General features: G+C 42.2%; 1 annotated feature.

Annotated features, from left to right (window-relative positions):
* Positions 14887 to 15181: a silencer, noted in NCBI's record as "tiled region #935; HepG2 Repressive non-DNase unmatched - State 23:Low, and K562 Repressive non-DNase unmatched - State 1:Tss". NCBI's record gives its function as "represses a minimal TATA promoter and a strong SV40 promoter by Sharpr-MPRA in HepG2 and K562 cells {active_cell/tissue: HepG2 | K562}" and the evidence as "EXISTENCE:reporter gene assay evidence [ECO:0000049][PMID:27701403]".

The following is a 22278-nucleotide window of genomic DNA, read 5'->3' on the forward strand; positions in this document are numbered from 1 at the left end:
TTCCTAAAAAAAAGAAAAACTTAAAAAAAGAAGAGCACAGGATAGCTTAGGAAATCACAGGGTTCCAGCCGTGAAGCTGGACAGAAGCTCCTGGGCACCGAGGCGGCAGCCACACAGAACACACCAGCTCGGCTCTGATGCCACCAGCTCCAGCCACACGCACATGGCCAGTTGCATCCTACAAGTGTGCACTGCCACACCTCCAGCAAATATTTCATTATCCTAACCATATTCTCACACTTTATTTGGTTGGCAATATTGGAGACTAAACTGCTTCTTATAATTTATCTTTCTAAATAATGGAAGTTGACTCCTTTAAAACTTTTAAACCATTTTAGATGGCCTGTAATATATGAAACCTTTTTTTACATTCTTTAACAAATAGCAATATAATGTGTGTGTGCGATTCAGTGTGAGTGTTAAGAAAGTAAATTTTGGAGCAATTATATCATTGGGTCCATTGAATTCTAGAAGGATTTTTGAACCCACATTAAATGTTCTCAGGCTTTAATTACTTTAACTTTCATATTTCTTCTTATAGTTTTTCTTCTTCTCCTCCTCCTTCTTCCTCTTCTTCTTCACACTTCCTGCTGTATTTTCCGACAAATCTTAGGATAAGAAATGGGTTGGCTAAGTAATTAGAAAAAGTTAAAAAAAAATACCTTTCAGAACAGAGAAAACAATAAAGAGGTGAGAGAAAATATCAAAAGAGTGATGACTTGTTGCTGATGTTATAGACCCTCCAGGCTCAGAGTTTTTCTGACCCCAAACGCTTGTCCTTGTCCCTGTCCTGCCCTTTCCCTCTCCTCTGACCTTCCCCAGCACCATCAACACATATGTTTCCATCACCTGCAGTCTTCAGTCCAGCTGCCTTCCCTCTCCTTCCTCTACCAACAAGCTTCCCAGTAAACACCTTACACTCTCCCTTTCTACTTCCTCACTCTTCATTCACACATTTAAAAGCTGAAATTTCACTCCCCAACCCCACCAGGAAAGAAATAAAATTTGCCAAACACCACTCCAGTGGAGAAACTGCCCTTGCTGAAGGTATTCACACAGCTTCCTAAGTGATAAATCTGGTGCATACAATTCCCATCTCAACGCCTTTGACCTTTCTTCCACATTTGGTACAAGTGACTACCCTCCTTCTTGAAACTGCGTTTCTCTCAATTCCACAAAAATTCTCCTTTCTGGATTTCTTCCTATATCTCTTATGACAGATTCTTTGCCACGCTCTTTTATGGCTTTCTCTTCTTCTGCCTGCTCCTTAAGTGTTGGGATTTCCCCAAAAATTAATCTACAATCTTCTTCCAACTCCATACTAACTGAGAAGTGTTACTAACGCGCCAGGAGCCCTATCCTGGTGCTGTGGTTTGGATGTGTCCACTGAAGTTCATGTTTTGACAACTTAATCCCCAATGCAACCATGCTAAGAGGTGGGACCTTTGAGAGGTGATTAGGTCATGAGGGCTCTGCTTCATAAATGGATTACTGTCGTCATTACATCTGGGCAGTGGGCTCCTGATAAGTGAATGGGTTCAGCCGCCATCCCCCTCCTTTGCATTTCCACCTTCCACCACCCACCATGGGATGTCAGAGCACAAGGGCCCTTGCCAGATGCTGGCAACTTGATATTGGACTTGTCAGCCTCCAGAACTGTGAGAAATACATTTCTGTTCATTGTAGATTACCCAGTCTGTGGAATTCTGTCATATTAGCATGAAATGGACTAAGACATCTGTTGAGAGGTTATGGTTTTGTCCATCTAATTTGTCACCTTTACCTCTCTCTTTGCAAATACAATTCTCCTTGTGGTCAGGCCGGAGCCAGCCCTCTGTTGTGAAGAATCAGTGGGGAGACAGGCCTGAAAAGGTAGAAGTACCTGGGAAAGGGAAGGGCACTGGAAATGTTCCTGAAGACACCAGCCTCTGGGCCTATGGAGGGTGGGGGAGGTGGATGGGGATGCTCCCCTGGGGTGCTGACATCTTCGCATTGTTCAAGGGGCACAGAGAAGCAGTCGGGTATTTGTGGAGTCTCTCTTTGTCCAGGGCTCAGCCTCTTTGGTGGTGGTAGCAAGAGCTTAATGGTTCTACCTGCATCCCTGAACTGTACTTTCATGTATCTACCTGCCTGGTAGACATTCTCCCCAAAACCCCTGCAAGCAAATTGAACCTGCTGTATTCCAACAGCACCCACTGTCTCCTCACCTTCAAAAATGCTCTGATTCTGTCTTTCTGATCTTTGTGAATGACATTACCCATGACCTAGTGGCCAAGGCTGGGACCCCATAAGGTCTTGTCTCCTCCTATTCTCTGTCCTCTTATTCTTCACATCCTATTGGCAGACAAGTGTGAATCAGCCAGGGTCCTGGCAGGACAAGGTGGCCCACTTAGAGGGTTTAACTGAAAAGAGTTTTATGAAGGGACTATTTACATGAGTGTGGGCGGGCTGAGGGAACACAAAAGAGAAGACAAAGTGTTGAAATTTGTTCATAGAACATGTCCGGATAGGCAATCTAGAGACAGAAGGCAGACTGGTGACAGCCTGGGGTAGAGGGGTTGGGGGACATGGGGAGTGGCCACTGAGGGGTATGGGTTCACTGGTTCATTTGGGGATGACACTGCAGAATGTTCTAGAATGGACCATGGTGATGGCTGCACAACTCTGTGAATGTGCCAGACACCAATGAATGGCACGGTGTAAACCAGTGAACTGCATGTACATGAATTACATCTCAATAAAACTGTGAGAGTTGTTTACAGGGAAGAGGAGGAGGCAATGGGAGCATTCAGACTGAGCAGTAATAGGGACTGAGGAGCCAGCAGCCTGTGGGCCTGGAGGCAGAGGGGAGAGACCAGTGGTTCTGAAACCTGGAGCCACCTGCCTGAGGGTTACCCAGGCAGAGAAGAACAAAGTCACAGCCAGACCCAGAAAGCTAGTGAGTAAACAGGAAGAAAGACCCCATGCTCCCTCCCCTAGCCCCCAGGCTCTGGCCCAGACCATACTTCTGAATCAGAGGAAAGGCGGGTTCCTGGCTTTGGCAGAGCCAGCAGAGGAGAGCAGCCATTCCCCAGCCCTGTTGGCTCAGAAACTGCACATGGCCATCTCCCTGTCTCTACCATCACCACCTTCTCAAGATCCCCGTGAAATCCTGTCTCCAGTCTCTCAGCAATCCACATCTCCTCACACTGGGGCAACTGGGGTGCTAGGGTGGGGGGCACTTGCTCATCAACAGGTCAGTCCCCACAGGCTGTTCCCAAGAGGAAATGCTGACCCAGGGTGGCCAGGTGTCCCAGATTGTAGATACAATTAAAAATAATAATAAAAGACGTGGCCTGTCAATGCAGACCACGAAGCAAAAGCATTTCTACAGCCTGAGGGTTGCCCATTGGCCACCTCTGCCCAGTGAGAGAGCCGGGGCGCAGGAATGCAGGGCTCCCAGACCCACTGCCATCTGCGTCATAACGGGGGTCCTCTTGGGTAAGCATTGTGCTGGGGGAGAGAAGGACATGGAGGACCCCAAACACAAAGCTCCCACCTCCCGGCAGGACATAGCTTCTGACCGCTGACCTGTGTTCCTTTAGGCTGGTAGCAAGAATCTTCAGAGCTTTGTCCCAACCGTTTGCTTTCCTCTTTTTTTTTCTCGAACCCAGAACCAGTCGCCTCTTGTTGGGCTTTGTGGGGTGGCAGATACACACCCGGCTTGTCCTCAGCCCCGACTCTTCTCTCAGGCTCTTGCCGTGCACAGTGTCCACGCAGCCCCTTCGCTGGCTGTTGTCACTGTCTCCATCACAAGTAGAATGAGGATGCTGGGCCTTGCAGGGCTGTGCCGAGGGCGGTAGCTTCTCCACGAAGGGCCCACCTGTGGGCCAACAGACCTCAGCGTGTGGCTGTCGTGATGTCCACACCTGTGGCACCTGTCCTCTCAGTCCCACATGTGGCAGCCCTGAGGTGTCCTTGCCCTGCCCCATGCAGGGGGGCCCTGTACCCCACTCCTTGTGCACGCCATGGGTTGATCTTCCCTGGGCCCACCTGCAGTCCAGCCTGGTGCCAAAAAGAACATCAGTCAAAGGAGGGCAGAAGGAGAGAGAATGTCCTGGAAACATCCTTGCGACCCGCACCCCATCACCTGCTGCAGCAGAGCCTCGCGTGAGGCGAGGAAGGCCACGCGGGCAGGAGGCGGGTGGAAAAGCAGCCTCAGTGCCAGGCACACCAGGCCTCACACACATCACCAGGAGCCATGTTAACATCTCTGTTCCACAGGTAAGGAAATGGCCACGAGGCTCGGAAAACAGCAAGGTCACCCACCCCTGTCAAACTTCAAGAAAGTGCGGTCTTAAGACTGCCTGTCCCCCAGAGCTCGCCACTCCAGGAGCCCGAAGTCTTAGGAAGTCAGCAGCACTCACACAGCAGTCAGGACAGGCGCCTGACTCAGTCACCTGCTGCCACCAGGCCCGGCTCAGGTACAGTGGCCAAGACAGTGCACCCAACTACCAGGCGTCTGGAACACATAAAACAAGCTGAAGTTTTGGGTTCCTAGTATTTATTCCCCAACAATAAAACACAAGCATCTTCAATGTGGAAAGGTTAGCGACAAGCGGTTTAGATTGGGAAATTTGCCACAGACAAGAAGGAAACTTGAATCTTCTTTTTTCCAACAAACTGAAGACGACATGCAAGGACATATCTTCTGGGAGGAGAGCTTGAAAATAAAAGCCTCCAGAAACATTTCATAAAGACATTTTTCAGAGAAAGTAAACATCAAGGAGAATGGGGTGGTTTGGATTCTTTCCTTAAACAGAAGTTAAAATAAAATGTTTTGACAAAGAAGAAGTGCTATTTTGATCTCCCTGTGAAATTTTTACAAGAAGCTCTGGTAGGAGTTTTTAAACACAGTAAACTCTTGTTTGGTGGCAATGTTACTGTGTGTGATTGATATTTCATATTGGCAGACGGCCAGCAGGTGAGGAGGAGGAGGTAAAAGTTAGGAGGATTCTGCTCTTTATTCCATTAGGAACTAGAAACAGAAGAAACTACTCCAGTGCTACTGAATCTCCAAGCAGAATTTACTACTGAAAAGGTACGCATCATCACTGATACAGTGTCAGAGTTCTACAACACGGCTAGCCTGAAGAGCCAATTTTTATCTCTCAGTGAGATTGATTTTCCATTTTTCTTGTCATACTCTATTCACAGTCTACTCTCCTACTTCCCATAAACTACAATAAGAAAACACAGTAAGTTAGAATCATTGAGCATTCTTTAGTCTTTTTTCTTATAAGCAGACACTGTACCGCACAACACAGCAGAGCTCTGATAACATTTTAATATGCGCCGATGCCAGATATTCAGGCTGCCTACCCAAAAGTGAAAGTTTTAGTTGCTTGTTTGGAAGTATCGGAATAGCCGACTTGAACTAAGAGGAAAATGCTGGAAATGCATTAACCTTTCATCTGGTTGTTTGTTATGTAGATATAATCAGACCTTAGTGTCAAAAAGAAAAAAAATAGCATATTTTTGACGGACTGCCATCTGCCAAGCTGCTTGGCAGATGATACAGCCTCTGCCTATTCTCTCAGTAACTCTGAAAGGTGGGTGCCAGGACTCTGAAGGCTACGGGGTTTTACCCTACTTGCAAGCCAACAGGTGGGCCTGCAGTGGTTCTGTACACACTGGCAGCAGACCTGAGCCCCCTGAGCTCAGGACAAGTAGCTTTATTACTCCCACACAGCAGGCAGAGGAGTTGTATATGTGCCTCAGTTCCCCTTGCTCTCCAAGTCCCATGGGGGTGAGGTGGAAAGTTCCAGTTGGATCCTGCATATCTGGTGGGTGTGTGTCACAGCTGACAAAGTCCAAGCTTGGGAAACCCCATTTTTTTATGATGGGCTGCAAGCAAACTTGACCTTTGCCCCAGAGGGAGACATTATCTCTGTCTCCCAAGATAGTGTCACAAAGGGCTGTTGATGGCTTTGCACACACGATGAGTTGCAAGTGGAGACGCATGGAGAATTAGCTCTCAATGGCAGGCAATGTTATTCCACTTATTACAGATTCATAAAGGAAGCATTTGAAAAGGTAACCAGCCTGCTCAAGTCACAAAGCTTATTAAATTGAAGAATCAGAACTCAAATCCGGGTGGGTTTGACTCCAGAACTCTCCCCTCTGTATCTTACAGCCAAATAGTAGTCCTCCACATTAGAGCATGATTAATCAATATATAAAAGGCATTATGGGCCAGGCGAGGTGGCTCACGCCTGTAATCCCAGCACTTTGGGAGGCTGAGGTGAGTGGATCACTTGAGGTCAGGAGTTCGAAACCAGCATGGCCAACATGGTGAAACCGCGTCTCTACTAAAAATACAAAAATTCGCTGGGTGTGATGGCATGCACCTGTAACTCCAGTTACTCGGGAGGCTGAGGCACAAGAATCGCTTGAACTGGGAAAGCGGAGGTTGCAGTGAGCCAAGATCACGCCACTTCACTCCAGCCTGGGCGGATCACTTGAGGTCAGGAGTTTGAGACCAGCCTGGCCAACAAGTGAAACCCCATCTCAAAAAATAATAATAAATAAATAAGTAAATAAACAAAAGGCATTATGACCACAAACTCCTGAATTTACCACACTGGCACCTTGAATATTTAGAGCGTTTCAAGAACAAACCTATGATCACCGGCCCTTTAACCAGGCCTCGCAATCTAGCATTATGCATTTTAACCTCACCCCAGAGTCTAGCAATATGAATTCTTCATACGCAGAGCATGAGATATAGAAAGTCAAATCAGAGCCATTGCCCCTGGAGGGCACAGCCTCCATGTGCTTGGACCCACCTGGGAGTGCAGGGCGGAGCAGGGCCACCTCTGTCCCGACTCACCACCTGTTCAAAACAGGCCACCCTCAATGCCATAGTGTGTGGTACTTGCATTTGGGCACACTGTGAATTTTTTTTCTTATAAAGACAATAATATCATATTCATGCATTTTGATAATATGGTAATTTAATTAAGAAATAAATTGAGTTTCTGAAAAAATTTTATGTCATTATTATATATGCATTTCTGCAGAAATTTACTAGAAAATGCTTTCTAAAATTGTATTTAAACTTAAAAGATTATAGTTTATTTCTAGACATAGAAAACAATTTTACACAATTGAAATGTATGATTTTTATTCTCAATGATTATCTATTTAGTGCTAAAATATTTATACCATATGTGTCCATTTAAAAAAAAAATAGGAGGGGAGTGAAATGCCAAAATTAAATGTCTAAAAAAGGATCAGAAAGAATAAAGTAGCCACATTTTTGCTAAATCTAACCACCTCAAGAAGTGAAAACCACAACGGGAACCACTCTGCCCAGGCGTGTGGCATGGCTATATATAGAACAGGATTTGATTGCACATTGGGTAAAATATTGTTCTCCAGCTTTACTGAGGTATAGTTAACATATAATAACCTGCATGTATTTAAAGGGTTTGATCTGTTGAGTTTTAACACATGCATACATCCATGAAAACATGATCATCAAGATAATGCCTCAGGATCGATTGTAATTCCTACTTCTCCCCCTTCCCTGGATATATGGTTTGCAAATATTTTCTTCAAGGCTGAAGTAGAATCCTGATAGCTCAAAAAAAACTCAGCCATAAATATTTCCAAATTAAAGCTTCTAAGATGGCTGTGAAGTTTTATATTATTAATTGGTATAGAAAAGGAAGATACGTTATACTCCATTTTTAACTAAAGCTGTTCAATTTGATGTTTATCCCACAAAAATGTTATATTATTTTTGAAATTATGTTTAATAATTTAAGAACAATTTTCTATTGAATAAGGATCTATTTCAGAAATATTAATTGTACAACTAACATAATGCTCAGCTTGATTTTTTCCCTTCAGTAAAATGAACCAAGATGAGAATATTTACATCTAGAAAATGTATTATAAATATTAGCACCTCGTTAAGCATACTGAGTAGGGATAACAAAGTCTAATACTGTCCTGTCCTGTGCAATAGAATTGATATACTTTAATCACATTACAGAATTCATGTTAATTTTTTTCACTTTAAAACAAAGTTGGGCTGGGTGCGGTGGCTCACGCTTGTAAACCAAGTGCTTTGGGAGGCTGAGGCAGGAGGATCACTTGAGTTCAGGAGTTCGAGACCAGTCTAGCCAACATGGTGAAACCCTGTCTCTTACTAAAAACACAAAAATTATCCAGGTGTGGTGGCACGAGCCTGTAATCCCAAGCTACTCGAAGGCTGAGGCAGGAGAATCGCTTGAACCCGGGAGGCAGAGCTTGCAGTGGGCTGAGACTGCGCCATTGCACTCCAGCCTGGGCAACAAGAGCGAAACTCCATCTCAAAAAAAAATAAACAAAACAAAACAAAAAACAAAAAAAGTTGTACTACAACATAGATGAACCTTGAAAATATTATGCTAAGTGAAAGAAATCAGTCACAAAAGACCATATATTCAAATTTGAAATGTTAGATGAACTGAACATAGTCTTAGAAAGGTGAAACTTACCAATATTGACACAAGAAGAAATAGGAGATTTTAAAAGTTCTGTAAATATTCAGGAATTATCTGTACTTCAAGCTCTCCCACTCTGACCCCACCCATCCTCCCACAAAACAAAAGTCCCAGCCCAACTAAATGTTTAAGAGAGTGTGGGGAAAGTTAGAGAATAAAAAAGGGTGGGCACTTCCCAGCAATTTTAATAAAATCAGTACAATTTAAGCATCAAACTAACAAGGACATTATAAGAAAAAAATAATAGGTCAATTTTCCTTGTACATATGTATGTAAACTTTATAAATAAAATATCAGGAAATTAAATATAGCAATGTACAAAAAGGATAATGTATCACACATTTTGGGGCTTATTCTTCAAAGTAGTGTCTTAACACTATAAAGGAGAGGAAAAGTAAGTAATCATACAATTGATAAAGAGAAAGCATTTTTTAAAAATTTAAATCCATTTATGTTAAAAAAAAAAAAAACCTCTTAGCAAGCTAGGAAGAGAGTGGAACTTCATTATCATGATACAGAGTACATTTTAAAATAGCTAGGAATAGAATGCAACATCATTATTATAGTAAAGAGTATTTTAAAAAACACATTTAATAGTGAAATGTTGAAACCTTTCCATCTGAGATTAGGAAGTAAACAAGAATATTTTATATCACCACATTTATTCAGCATTAAACTAGTAATTCTAGCCAGTGCAGTAAAGAGATGCAGACTGGCTAAGAGATAATAAAACTACCACTATTTGTTGATAATATTTCGATGTAGAAAGCATAAATTATTAGAATTAAGAAGTTAGTTTAGCAAAGTTGTTAGACACAGGTGAATATTTTTAAAAATCAATTATATTCCTCTGTATTAGCACAGTTGGAAAATGAAATACTAAAACAGATTCACGTACAAAAGCATAAAATATTAAATATTTAACACTAAAACTTCTTTAAAAGATGCACAAGGGCTATGCAGAAAAAACTACAACATTTTTTAGAAAAATTCAAGATAATCTAATTAAGTGGGGGGGATATACCATGTTCATAGATTAGAAATGTTATTATTGTAAATATATTCATTTTCCCTGAATTGGTCTATAAATCTAATGCCATGTTGATAAAAGCCTCAGCAGGATTTTCTGTGGTAATTAACAAAATAATTCTAAAACGTATGTGGATGCACAAAGGGCCAAGAAAAGCCAAGAAAACTTTAATGAAAAGAACAAGGCAGGACTTAGTCTACTCGATATCAGAATTTATTATAAAGCTTCAGTAATTAAGGCAGTTTTTTGTGCAATGATAAACAAATAGACCGAAAAAATGGAATAATTGGTGCATACAGACACACACATATGGATATTCCATTTCTGGTAAAAGTAATAGTACTGCAAAGTAGTGGAGATTTTTTTTTTTTCAGTAGATGGTGCTTGAATAATTTGGATAACAACATGAAAAAAATTAAATATAACCCTACCCTGAAGAGTTATACACAAAAGTTAATTCCAGGTATACTGCTTATTTAAATTTGAAGGGTCAAATAACAAGACTTTGAGAAAATTATATAAGAGAAAAGCCTTTAAGATTTTGGGATAGAGAAAATTGAATAGGAATAATGCTCTTTTGAGCACTAACCATAAAGAGAAAGATTGATAAATTAGACTATATTAAAATTAAAGACTTTTTAAATTTAAGAGTAAAAGATAATACTATGAGAGTGACAGGCAAGCCACTGAGTGGTAGCGTGGTTATATCAAGACAAAAAGTCCTATCCAGTATATATCAATAGTTTCTACAAATCAATTAAGACAGACAACCCAACAGAAAAACAAGCAAGAGACACTAAGACTTCACAAAAGAGGAGATCCAAATGATCAACAAATATGTGAGAGGATGGTCATTCTCATTAGAAATGGGGAAAATGTGAATTAAGGCAATAGAATATCACTACACATCCACCAGGATGGCTAAAGGCTGATAATACCAACTGAAATCCCACTATGCTGGTGATGAAAACGTAGATTGGTTCAACCTCTTTGGGAATTTGACAGTATTTACTAAGTGTGTGTATGTGCCTACCCAATGCCTCAGCAATTCCACTCATAGGCACGTGCCCAACCAGCATGTGAGCTCGTGCTGCACATCAAGACACATACGTAACTATTCACGGCAGCATTCTTATGGGCAGTCAAACATTGGAAGCAATCCAAATGTTCACTAACAGTGGACATCACAGTAGCCAAACAATAGGACATTAAACAGCAATTTATATGAAATAACTGTTGCCTCATACAACCAAAGGATGAATCTTTCATACATACACAGTCACACTCAGTTCTGAGGAAAAGAAGCCAAACATACCCACAAAAATATATACTGTAGGATTCCGTTTTCACAAACTTCAAAAACAAGACAAATGAGTCTGTGATGTCAGGACAGCGTTTAACTTGAGCAGGGAGTGAAGGGAGTGACTGGGAAGAGACACGAGTGGGGCTCCGGGGTGTTGGCCATATTCTGCTGTTGTGTTTAAACCTGGGTGTGTGCACAAGTGTTCATCAAGCTGTATAATGATGGGGCATGCACTTTCCTGTATGTGTTCAACATAGAAGAACAGGAATCAATTAGGTTATCATAATAACTTAATCAGTATGAAGAGGAAAATGGATGAGGTAGAAAGTATAGCAAGAGCTCAGAGGAGAACATATTATCAACTGCCATGGTTGGCCTGGCTTCTTGCCAAGGAAAGAACAGAGGAAACAGAAGATAGAAAACAGGAGTTATGTTTACAGAAACCTCCCATGAGGGGGCTGAAGGGAGATCTCAGGATGACAACTCATACAAGATACTGAGTCCTAGTCCAGATGGGAGCAATGTGACTCCAGAGATGGAATTTTTCACCAAGTTTCCCAGTGCCATGGTGCTGCCTTCTTCCCCGGAAGACAGCATGCCCAGGTGAGCCTGGGTTCTTGCTTTTGTGTCTTCACATCCCTGCCCTGTTCTCAACGTTCTTCTGCCTGCATCAGTGGAGGATGCCCATTAATCCACCTTTGTGATTTCTCCAAGGATATTTAGAGGTGAATTCATAACTATCGTCTATTTCCATCTAAGAAAATACAACTGTAAACTAAAAAATAATGATTCAGCTTTTTCCCTAGAGCTGTTTCCTCAGGCAACCTAATTAAGGATTAATCCTGTTACCCCAGTGCCCTCCCTAGGAAACCTCCAAATGACTTCAGGGGAATTTCATGTAGTTAATGGTTGCTGGATCTTTCTGAGTGAGTTATCATTAAAAATACATATGTGCAAATACCTAACCCTAACCCTTATCCTAACCCTTACCCTCATCTGGTTTGCTAGTAGAAAACCTTGAGAATCATTTTAGACTGAAACACTTTCTTCTGGGTTAATTACCATCGTCCCCCAAGAAAAGCCATCAACTCTGACGTCCATTTTGGTTTCGGCAAAGCCAGTCTCGTTTAAATGATTCTTCACTGATAAGAATTGGATGCTTCCCTCCTCTTTTCTGTCTGTAACTTGTTTTTTTTTTTTTTTGAGATGGAGTCTCACTCTGTTGCCAGGCTGGAGTGCAGTGGTGTGATCTCGGCTCACTGCAACCTCCGCCTCCCAGGTTCAAGCAATTCTCCTGCCTCAGCCTCCAGAGTAGCTGGGATTACAGGCGTGCACTACCACGCCCAGCTAATTTTTTGTATTTTAGTAGAGACGAGGTTTCACGGTGTTGGCCAGGATGGTCTCGATTTCCTGACCTCGTGATCCCCGCCTCGGACTCCCAAAGTGCTGGGATTACAGGTGTGAACCACTGCACCCGGCCTTGTCTGTAACTTAATATCTGTTTTGTCTTTTTTTTAAACTGATACCTTATATCTAGCCTTCAAAATTAATATTTTGCCATGTTCACCTCTCATTCTGATTTTTTTTCCCAACCATTTACAAATGTAAAGAAGATGGTTAGTTTGTGAGCCATACAAAAATAAGAGGCAAGAGGGATTTGCCTTGCAGGTTGTACTTTGTCCACCCCGGTCTAGAATATTAAGGATTTTCTACATATTAATTCATAGTCTAAGGGATCCCAGAAATAGGAGCTGCTTGAGAAGATGTAGTCTGTGGTGTTGAAAATGACATACATCTAAAAGTATTTAGAATGTTTTTAATGGTGGAATTCACCCTGCTGTGTCACTCTTTTATACAGGTTGAGTAGTCCGAATCCAAAAATGCAAAATGCACCCAAATCTGAAACTTTTTGAGTGCTGACAGGACATGCTAAGGAGTTGCTCATTGGAGCATTTTGGATTTCAGATTTTTGGATTAGGGATGCTGAACTGGTAAATAGATCATGCAAAGATTCCAAAATCTGAAATTTGAGACGTTTCTGGTCCCAAGCATTTTGGATAATGAATACTCGACCAGCCTTACAACAAATAAACCAAACAATTAAACAAAAATAACTAACATTTTGACATTAATCTTTGAACAAGCATCTCTTCATGAATTTTCTATGTTTAAACAAATAGTTTTTAGCTAAAACACTTCTCTTACTCATAATTGAATATCTATACTTTGGATATTTTGTCATCTATACCCTTGGCTACAGCTCATTTTAAAATTATATTTTTTACTCTATTGCCACTTCACTATATTTAGACATTGAAATTTAAACTGTAATCTTATCTTTATTTAATGGGAAATAATGTATGTATGGGAAATTAAAAGTTAAAAATGACTGTGAAAAAATAATTGTATTATTGAGCTGAAAGGGTTCATGTCTGGAGTCTCCATCCAAATCCAAGCCTAGAATCATATACAATTCCCTTATAATTATCTTCTGAAATTTATGGTATAAAAGATGCTAATAATATATTAAATTTCTTATAGGAATTATAACCACAAATTATTGAAACTCCCTAGTACCTAACACTGTTGTTAATAAGGCATTTCTCAGCACATTGTAGGTTTACTTTAGCCTAATGAAAAAGCTATGATTCCAATATGTATTGATATATAATTATTTAAATAATTTAGTATCTGGCCAGCCCTGTAATCCCAGAACTCTGGAAGACCGAGGTGGGTGTATCACTGAAGGTCAGGAGTTCGAGACCAGCCTGGCCAAGGTGGCGAAACCCCATCTCTACTAAAAAATACAAAAAATAACTGGGCATGGTGGCAGGCACCTGTAATCCCAGCTACTTGGGAGGCTGAGGCTGGAGAATTGCTTGAACCCAGGAGGCAGAGGTTTCAGTTAGCTGAGAAAGAGCCACTGCACTCCAGCCTGGGCGACAGAGGGAGACTCCATCTCAAAATAAATAAATAAATGAAAGAAAGAAGGAATTTAATAGCTAAACAATAAATTGGTTTCTTCTAGTCTAAAATGTGAGTTAATATATAATGAATGTATATTTATTCATTTCTTGATCTGAAGTAAATCTCTATTAAACAATACACATAAAAAGCCTTGAAACCAAAAATGGTCATTTACTTCAAAATAGTTAGATATGCAGGTCAAACGTTATTGGATATGTATTTGAATAACTTTCAAATTCCTTATGCTAGCAGGCATGGTGGCTCACGCCTGCAATCCCAGCACTTTGGGAGGCCGAGGTGGGCGGATCACCTGAGGTGAGGAGTTCGAGACCAGCCTGACCAACATGGCAAAACCCTGTCTCTACTAAAAATACAAAAATTAGCTGAGCTTGGTGGTGGGTGCCTGTAATCCCAACTACTCGGGAGGCTGAGGCAGGAGAATCGCTTGAATCTGGGAGGTGGAGGTTGCAGTGAGCTGAGATCGCGCCATTGCACTCCAGCCTGGGTGACAGAGCGAGACTCCGTCTCAAAAAAAAAAAAAAAGAAAAAGAAAAAAATTTATTTTTAAAAAGACAAGAGTGTTACTATGTAACAATTTAATCAAACTATGTACATAGCTATGTTTTGCCTCATTAATTATCTTAAAAATAAATATACATCTGTGTCTTACTTTAAAGACATTATACTTTGGTAAAAATATTAGGCAGAGAAATTTGTGCAGTCCTGTAATTGCAGAAAAATAAAAAGAAAATGTTATTCTTTGAAATTGCTTTAAGTTTTGTAAGTTTTCTCCACCGAGAAAAATATATCAATATGAAAGGATTTAACAGCACTACAGATGTATTATTGCAGTGTTCATTTTTCTTTGACAATTCTATGAGGCATCACATCAATCATTTAGATTAAAAAATTGAGTTTCAGAAAGATGCTTGGCTATTACATGGCCGATGGCAGTTTGACATTCGAATTCAGGTCTGTGTGGCTCTAACCCAACAGATGTTTCACCGCGCAGGGGTCTGATTGTGAACCAGAGGAACGGACACGTGGCTCTAGAGGGTTCAGCAGAAGGGTGCCCTCCTGGAGGTGGTAGAGAGGTGTTTGAGCTGGGCCTTGAGTCGATGATATTTGAGCAGATGGGCCAAGTTTTCCTGCTGCAATAGGCAACCCTGAAATTTCAGCGTCTTAACACCAAAACTTCTTTCTTGTAAACTGCAAAACCCGAACCCCTCTGTGGGACCCAGCGCCCCTCCAGGGCAGCTGTCCGGTAGGCGGCGGCTGAGACCTGGCTGCTGGACTTTCCAGTTTCTCCACACCCACACTGGCGTTTCCACAGGCACTGAGGCAAGGAAAGACGGGGCTGGACTGTCGCTCCTGGCTCCTGCACACTTCCATACGGAAGTGACACGCCGGCTCCTCTGCCATTGCATTCACCAGAACTAGTCACGTGGCCACGCCCGCCTTCACAGGGCGGAAGGTGAAATTCCGTGTGCTTAGCAGAGGACAATTCAAACGGGTGTCCAGCAGAGATGGTCAGGACCTCAGCCCGCAGCTATGAGAAGGGGTCCTCCGGGTGGAGGGAAGAGTCTAGCCCCGCAGGCGAGGCGGGGAAGCAGAGGCGTGCTTCCAAGACGTCCAGAGGCGCGATCAGGTGAACTCAGAGAGGGAAAGCAACTGGGAAGCAGGTCATGGGGAGGCAGACACAGAGCACTTGTCTTCTCCTTCCTATAGAATATGTAGTTGAAACACTCACAACATATAATCTACCAAATTCATCATAGATGACTTATTGCAATGAAAACAATTATAATACTATATTGCTGTGGTTTTTCTGGGGGGTGGGGTGCTATGTAGTATTACATATATGTATGGCTTTGAAAGCCTCCAAAGACTTTAGAAGTTTACTGCAATATTCTGAACAAATGGAAGCTCTAATGTAGCGCCCTTTAATAATTAAAAATATGCATAAAATGTTAAAATTGAATGATTTTTCTTTTTTTCCAGAAGGGCGAATACTTCTGTATGGTTTCCGACATGCAGGACTACTTAAAAAAAAAAAAGAAAACTTTTCTGGACTTCCTTTTTTCTCATGTACATTTTTAACCCCTGCAGTGCCAACATTCAAATGAAGAATGAAAACATTTCTATGTGAATGCATACTTGGAGAGAACATTCATATGCCTTACTTTAATTTTATCCTTATAACAGCTCTGTAAGGTGGGCAGTGAAGGTCTGTTGCCATCATCATGTTTCTTTTTTCTTTTTTTTTTTTTTGAGACAGAGTCTTGCTCTGTTGCCCAGGCTGGAGTGCAGTGGCGCTATCTCGGCTCATGCAAGCTCCACCTCCTGGGTTCATGCCATTTTCCTGCCTCAGCCTCCCAAGTAGCTGGGACTACAGGCACCCACCACCACGCCCGGCTAATTTTTTTGTGTTTTTAGTAGAGACAGGGTTTCACCATATTAGCCAGGATGGTCTCGATCTCCTGACCTCGTGATGTGCCTGCCTCGGCCTCTCAAAGTGCTGGGATTACAGGCTTGAGCCACCGCGCCCAGCCATCATGTTTATTTTTCACTTGAGGAAACTGAGTCTCAGACCTGTACAGACCCTTCACTGCCCTACAATTAGTGTAAGAGATGGAGCTCAAGGTTGGGAACTGTGGCGCTTAACCCAAGACTACTTTCCCACGACAATGTCTCTGACCACAGAGAGTCGATCTCTGTGCTAGTTAGGAATTGGTGGAAAGTTTCCCCTAGGAGAAAGGAGGTGTGTGACACTGGGAGAGTCTCAAGGTCAAACCTACAAGGTCATCTGAGCCAGTGATTCTCGAACTCAACTGAACATCAGAGTCACTCAGGGAGACTGAGAATAAAAGATTGTTGGACTTGCCCTGAGACTCTGATTCTCTGTGTCTGCCACTGAGTTGAAGGGATGTGTATGCTGAAACAGTTTTCTGAAACTTGAACAGTGTCTTGATATTTGATGACTTTAAGGAATTATTGTCATTTTTCAAAGTATGAAAACGATATGAAGAAAATATATTTTTAAAGAGTGTCTTCTGAAGATACATCTGCAACATTTACTAATGAAATTATGTAAAGTCTGATTTGTGTTTAAAAATAATCCAGGAGCGGAGGGAGAGGGAAGGGGATAAATGAAACAGGCTGTGACAACTGAAGCCAGGTGGTGAGTGGGGAGTGGGGACAGGGACTTCCTCTGGCATTCTATTCGTATTCGATACTATTCGTATCACTGCACATTTGTATAACAAAAATGTTGCAAGAAAAGCTCCCCAGGAAATTCTGATGATCACCCATTGGATCATTGATCTAATCCAACCACATAACTATAATTACAGATTGGATCATTGATCTAATCCAACCACATAACTATAATTACAGAGGTTCCCTGTACACTGCCATGTCTGCTGTATTGCTACATTCTAGCTGTATTGTTCGAGGTCACTCACCTGTTTGCCCTTCTCTGCAGTGGTGGTAAAATCAGGAAATAGTTTTACCAAAACAGGGCATTGGAATATAGACAAGTGTAGGTGAGTCATGAGCAGGGGACACTTCTGGGCCTCAGATTTCTCATCTGTGGTTTGTCTCAAACTCAGAGACAGGTTTTCAGATCCCCTCTTGAGTCCACTCTCTTTCCTTCTTTTACAGGAACTTTCTCTCTCAGGCAATTTTCTCCTTTTCTTTCTCAGGTGACTTTCAGCATTTCCTTTTTGAGCTTTACCTTAGAGTTGCCTTATGGTTTATTCAGGTGCAAATTGACTTCCATGTGTCCTGCTTGATATTTGAAAGCACTTTTAATTTTAAGACTGTTATGCTTCTTACATTCTGGAAAATTCCCAGCGATCATCTCTTTAATTATGCCTCTCCATCATTCTCTCTAATCCTCTGGAATTCTGACGAGATGAGATTAACTCCCTCAGCCTACAGCTCTTGCTCCTTAAGATCTCTCGCTTTTATGAATCTTTTCTTCTTTCCACTCATTTTACTTTCCAGATGCATTTCTCAGCTTTTTTCTTTTCGATTGGATTTCTTTATGTTCTTGTTTTATTATTTCTGCCAGTCTTTTTTTTTTTTTTGAGACGGAGTCTTACTGTTGCCCAGGCTGGAGTGCAGTAGCACGATATTGGCTCATTGCAACCTCTGCCTCCTGGGTTCAAGTGTTTCTCCTGCCTCTGCCTCCAGAGTAGCTGGGATTACAGGCACACACCACCACCCCCGGCTAATTTTGTGTATTTTTTTTTTTTTTTTTTTAGACAGAGTTTTGCTCTTGTTGCCCAGGCTCTAGTGCCATGGTGTGATCTCTGCTCACTGCAACTTCCACCTCCTGGGTTCAAGCGATTCTCCTGCCTCAGTCTCCCGAGTAGCTGGGATTACATGTACGTGCCACCATTCCGGGTTAATTTTGTATTTTTAGTAGAGACAGGGTTTGTCCATGTTGGTCAAGCTGGTCTGGAACTCCCAACCTCAGGTGATCCGCCCACTTCGGCCTCTTCGGCCTCCCAAAGTGCTGGGATTACAGGCGTGAGCCACCGTGCCAGGCCAATTTTGTGTTTTTAGTAGAGACGGAGTTTCACCAGGTTGGCCAGATAGGTCTCGAACTTCTGACCTCCCGCCTCGGCCTTCCAAAGTGCTAGGATTACAGGCTTGAGCCACTGTGCCTGGCCCCCACCCCCCCTTATTTTTTTTTTTAGAGTCAGAGTACATATGCAGGTTTGTTACGTGGATTTACTGTGTGATGCTGAGGTTTGGGCCTTGATCGAACCCCTCACCCAAAGAGTGAACACAGTTCCCAGTAGGCAGTTCTTCTCTCCTTGCCCCTTTCTCCCTCCCATGGACTCCACTGCCCACCGTTTCCATCCCTATGTCCCTGTGTCCACAGTGTGTAGCTCCCACTTAGGAGAATATGCAGTATTTGGTTTTCTGCTTCTGTGTTAATTCAGTTAGGATAATATATTTCTGCCAGTTCTTCATAACTTCTTATCCCTTTTGATGCATGTTATTCCTGCATACATTTCTTCAAGGTTTCCAAACATGTTTATTTTAAAGCTCTTTTCAGAATGGTTGCTGATTCGGGTGGCCCCTTAGCATTTGCTGTGTTCACGTGCATGGTAATTATTTCTTTGCCAGCTCATCGTAAGTGGGAGATTCTCTCTCTACTGTCTATCTTTCTCAGTGTCTCTCTGCTCACACCTCTGCTTAACAAAGGCACCTCGTCCGTGTGGGGCCCTCGTCCAGGAACAAGCTGTGTTGCCGTGGTTGAAGGCATCAGATGCAGTTACTTGCTGCATGGCAGTTCCTGGCAGGGGGCCACATGCACGTTTTCTCTTCCCGCAGACACATGGCTTCATGTCAGTTGTGCCGGCAGCTGCAGTTGGCAGCAGCTTCCTCTCCTCTCATGAGCACTTGTGGTCCCCATCATAGTCCCCACTGCCCAACAAGCGCCCCGCTCCTCGCAGGATCTGCCTTTGGGTTCCAGACTCCAGCAGGACATTTCCTTCAGCTCCTTCTCACCATCATGCATCTCCATCCCAACACTGATCCTCAGCCGTGCCCATGCTGTTTCAAGTCTCCTACAGTTTTACGTTTTCCCTCTTTATTTGTCATCTACCATTGGCATATATTTAGAGCAGGTATGTGCGTGTGGTAAGGGTGCTTCAGGGTACATGTTTATAGAACCATCTTAGCGGAAGTCCTTAGGCCAGGTTTCTCCTTTCTCATAGAACTACTGCAAATGTTGAAAGCACTTGAAAAAATGTCTAAGCTGCACTCTATTTTCAAAAACAAGCAAAACCCTGTAACTTGGTAATTTTTATTTCCAGAGACACTAGCGGATAAAGAAAATATTTTTCTTGGGAGAAGTCCTTGGGTATTCCATTCATTGGTTTGCCATGAACAACACATTTTTCAACACTTTTTTGTTTCTATTATTTTTACTGCTGGTAAATAGCATGTTAATAGTACATTCCCCTTCATTTAACATTTTTATTTGTTAAAATAAAATTTAATGGGAGTTTGCATTTCAAAATACTAGTTTCCTAGCAAAATTTATACATTCAGCATATATTATATATTATACATATAATTTTCTAGCAGAAAAGGGCATAAGATGTAAAAAATAATAGTTGATATATTTGTACCCTTTGCTCTTCTCAGGTGTATAAAGTTCCTCCTCTTTTCCCTAGTACTTTCTATATTATAGAACCTGTGAAAACTGGGGAGGGAATTAGGTTTATGACATTTAGTTCATTTTAGCACCTGGTTTCCATAACGCCTCCTAAATGTTTCTGGCCTTTGTTCTATTAATGACAGCGAGATCATAGAGTCATATTAAAGTTGCTCAGTAGGTCAAGCCCTCTCTTTTAGGGATGAGGCAAGCACAATTCTTTCTTCTTCTAGACCCATTGTTTAGAACTGTACCTTTTATTATCAAGAAAAAAGGTGAAAGGCTGGATGGAAAACCTCCACGGCCTCCGGACTGTGGACTCTCTACCCTTGTAAAGACCACTCACCTGAGTAAAGTCTAGTCTCAGCCGCTGGGACTAGACTAGCTGTAGAAGCTGTGTGCTGGGTACCCCTACCCCGCACCCCAGTACACAGCCATCTTCAATCTAGCCAATAAGCGTTTATTAAACATCCACTAGGTACAAAAAACTGTGCTCTCTGCTAGAAGCGGGGCACGGAATCAAACATCAGTAAGATGGGTCCCCAACACCACGGGGAACAGAACTCGTGAGGAAAAAGGCACATTCAGAATTTCAAGTCAAAACCAAATTCAAGGTAGCAGCTAAAATCAAAGTGCCAAGTGTTAAGGGATCAGGAAAATATGGGGAGATGGCAACAAAAGAACTAGTACAGTTTAGTTGATCGGTTTTTTTTCTTGAGACGGAGTCTCGCTCTGTCGCCCAGGCTGGAGTGCAGGGGCGCGATCTCGGCTCACTGCAAGCTCCACCTCCCGGGTTCACGCCATTCTCCTGCCTCAGCCTCCGGAGTAGCTGGGACTACAGGCGCCCGCCACCACGCCCGGCTAATTTTTTGTATTTTTTAGTAGAGACGGGGTTTCACCCTGTTAGCCAGGATGGTCTCGATCTCCTGACCTCGTGATCTGCCCATCCCGGCCTACCAAAGTGCTGGGATTACAGACGTGAGCCACCGCGCCCGGCCAGTTGATCGGTTTTCAAAGTGGGAAACCGAAACTGACGAAATGGGCCACTGGACGGAGAAATTCTGGAAGTGAGAGCACTTCCAGAGCAGCATGCAGCGACACCTCGCACGGCTGAGGATGGACAGAATGCGGAAAGGAGGACAAGGAGGCAGGCAGGGGAGACGCCCTTTCACAAATCTACTCACAGCCTGATATTCTTTCATTATTTTCAGGATATATATGATCACATTTTAACTTAGTCTGCAACATGTACTGAATAAAAAGAAGATAGTGCAAAGCAATTCTCCAACACAGTAAAAGGTAAGTGACCCATGTTTACGGTATAATCCCCTTCTAATACCTTCCATACACACACACACACACACACACACACACACACACACAACCATTTCATTTCTTTGCATTCAGTGTGTATTAGTCCATTCCATTCTTGCATTGCTATAAAGAAATACCTGAGACTAGGTAATTTATAAAGAAAAGAGGTTTAATTGGCTCATGGTTCTGCAGGCTGTACAGGAAGCATGGCTGGGGAGGCCTCAGGAAACTTACAATCATGGCAGAAGGCAAAGGGGAAGCAGACATGTCTTACCTGGCTGGAACAGGAGGAAGCTGGGGAAGGGAGGTACCACACACTTTTAAACAACAAGATTTAGTGAGAACTCCATCACCAGAATAGCACCAAAGGAGGAAATCCGCCCCCATGATCCAATCCAATCACCTCCTCCTAGGCCCCATCTCCAACATTGGAGATTACAATCTGACATGAGATTCAGCTTTGGCATACAGATCTAAACCATATCACAGTGTAAATATGTTGTTTGTGTATTTCAGATTTAGCTTTTTCCTTCCAGTAGCATCTTAGTTTATAAAATGCCAGAGAACATGTCTTTCTGGGTTGGTAAGATTATATACATATATATTTTAAATAAGTACGATTAAATTCCCATTTTAAGGGCTGTTTATAGCACTAATTTCTGTGTAAAAACTCACTTCCTGAAAGTTCTAACCTAAAATGTGACTAAATATTAGGAACACGGGAAAGCAATGAAGGAAGCAGAGTTGAAAGATATATTTCTTCATTTTCCAATAAAGTAGCACATACCCTACTTATGAAAAACTCATCCTCTAGAATTTTTTTTGCTTGTTTGTTTAAAAAATGAAATTAACAACACTGGCCTTTCTAGCAATGGGTTAAGCAAAGGAGAGTTTGGTTATTTAACTTTATAGATCAACTAATTAGATTAACTTTCACATGCATGGGCTACTA

The sequence above is a fragment of the Homo sapiens genome, chromosome 6 (genome assembly GCF_000001405.40).
Source record: "Homo sapiens chromosome 6, GRCh38.p14 Primary Assembly".
NCBI classification, from domain to species: Eukaryota; Metazoa; Chordata; class Mammalia; order Primates; family Hominidae; genus Homo; species Homo sapiens.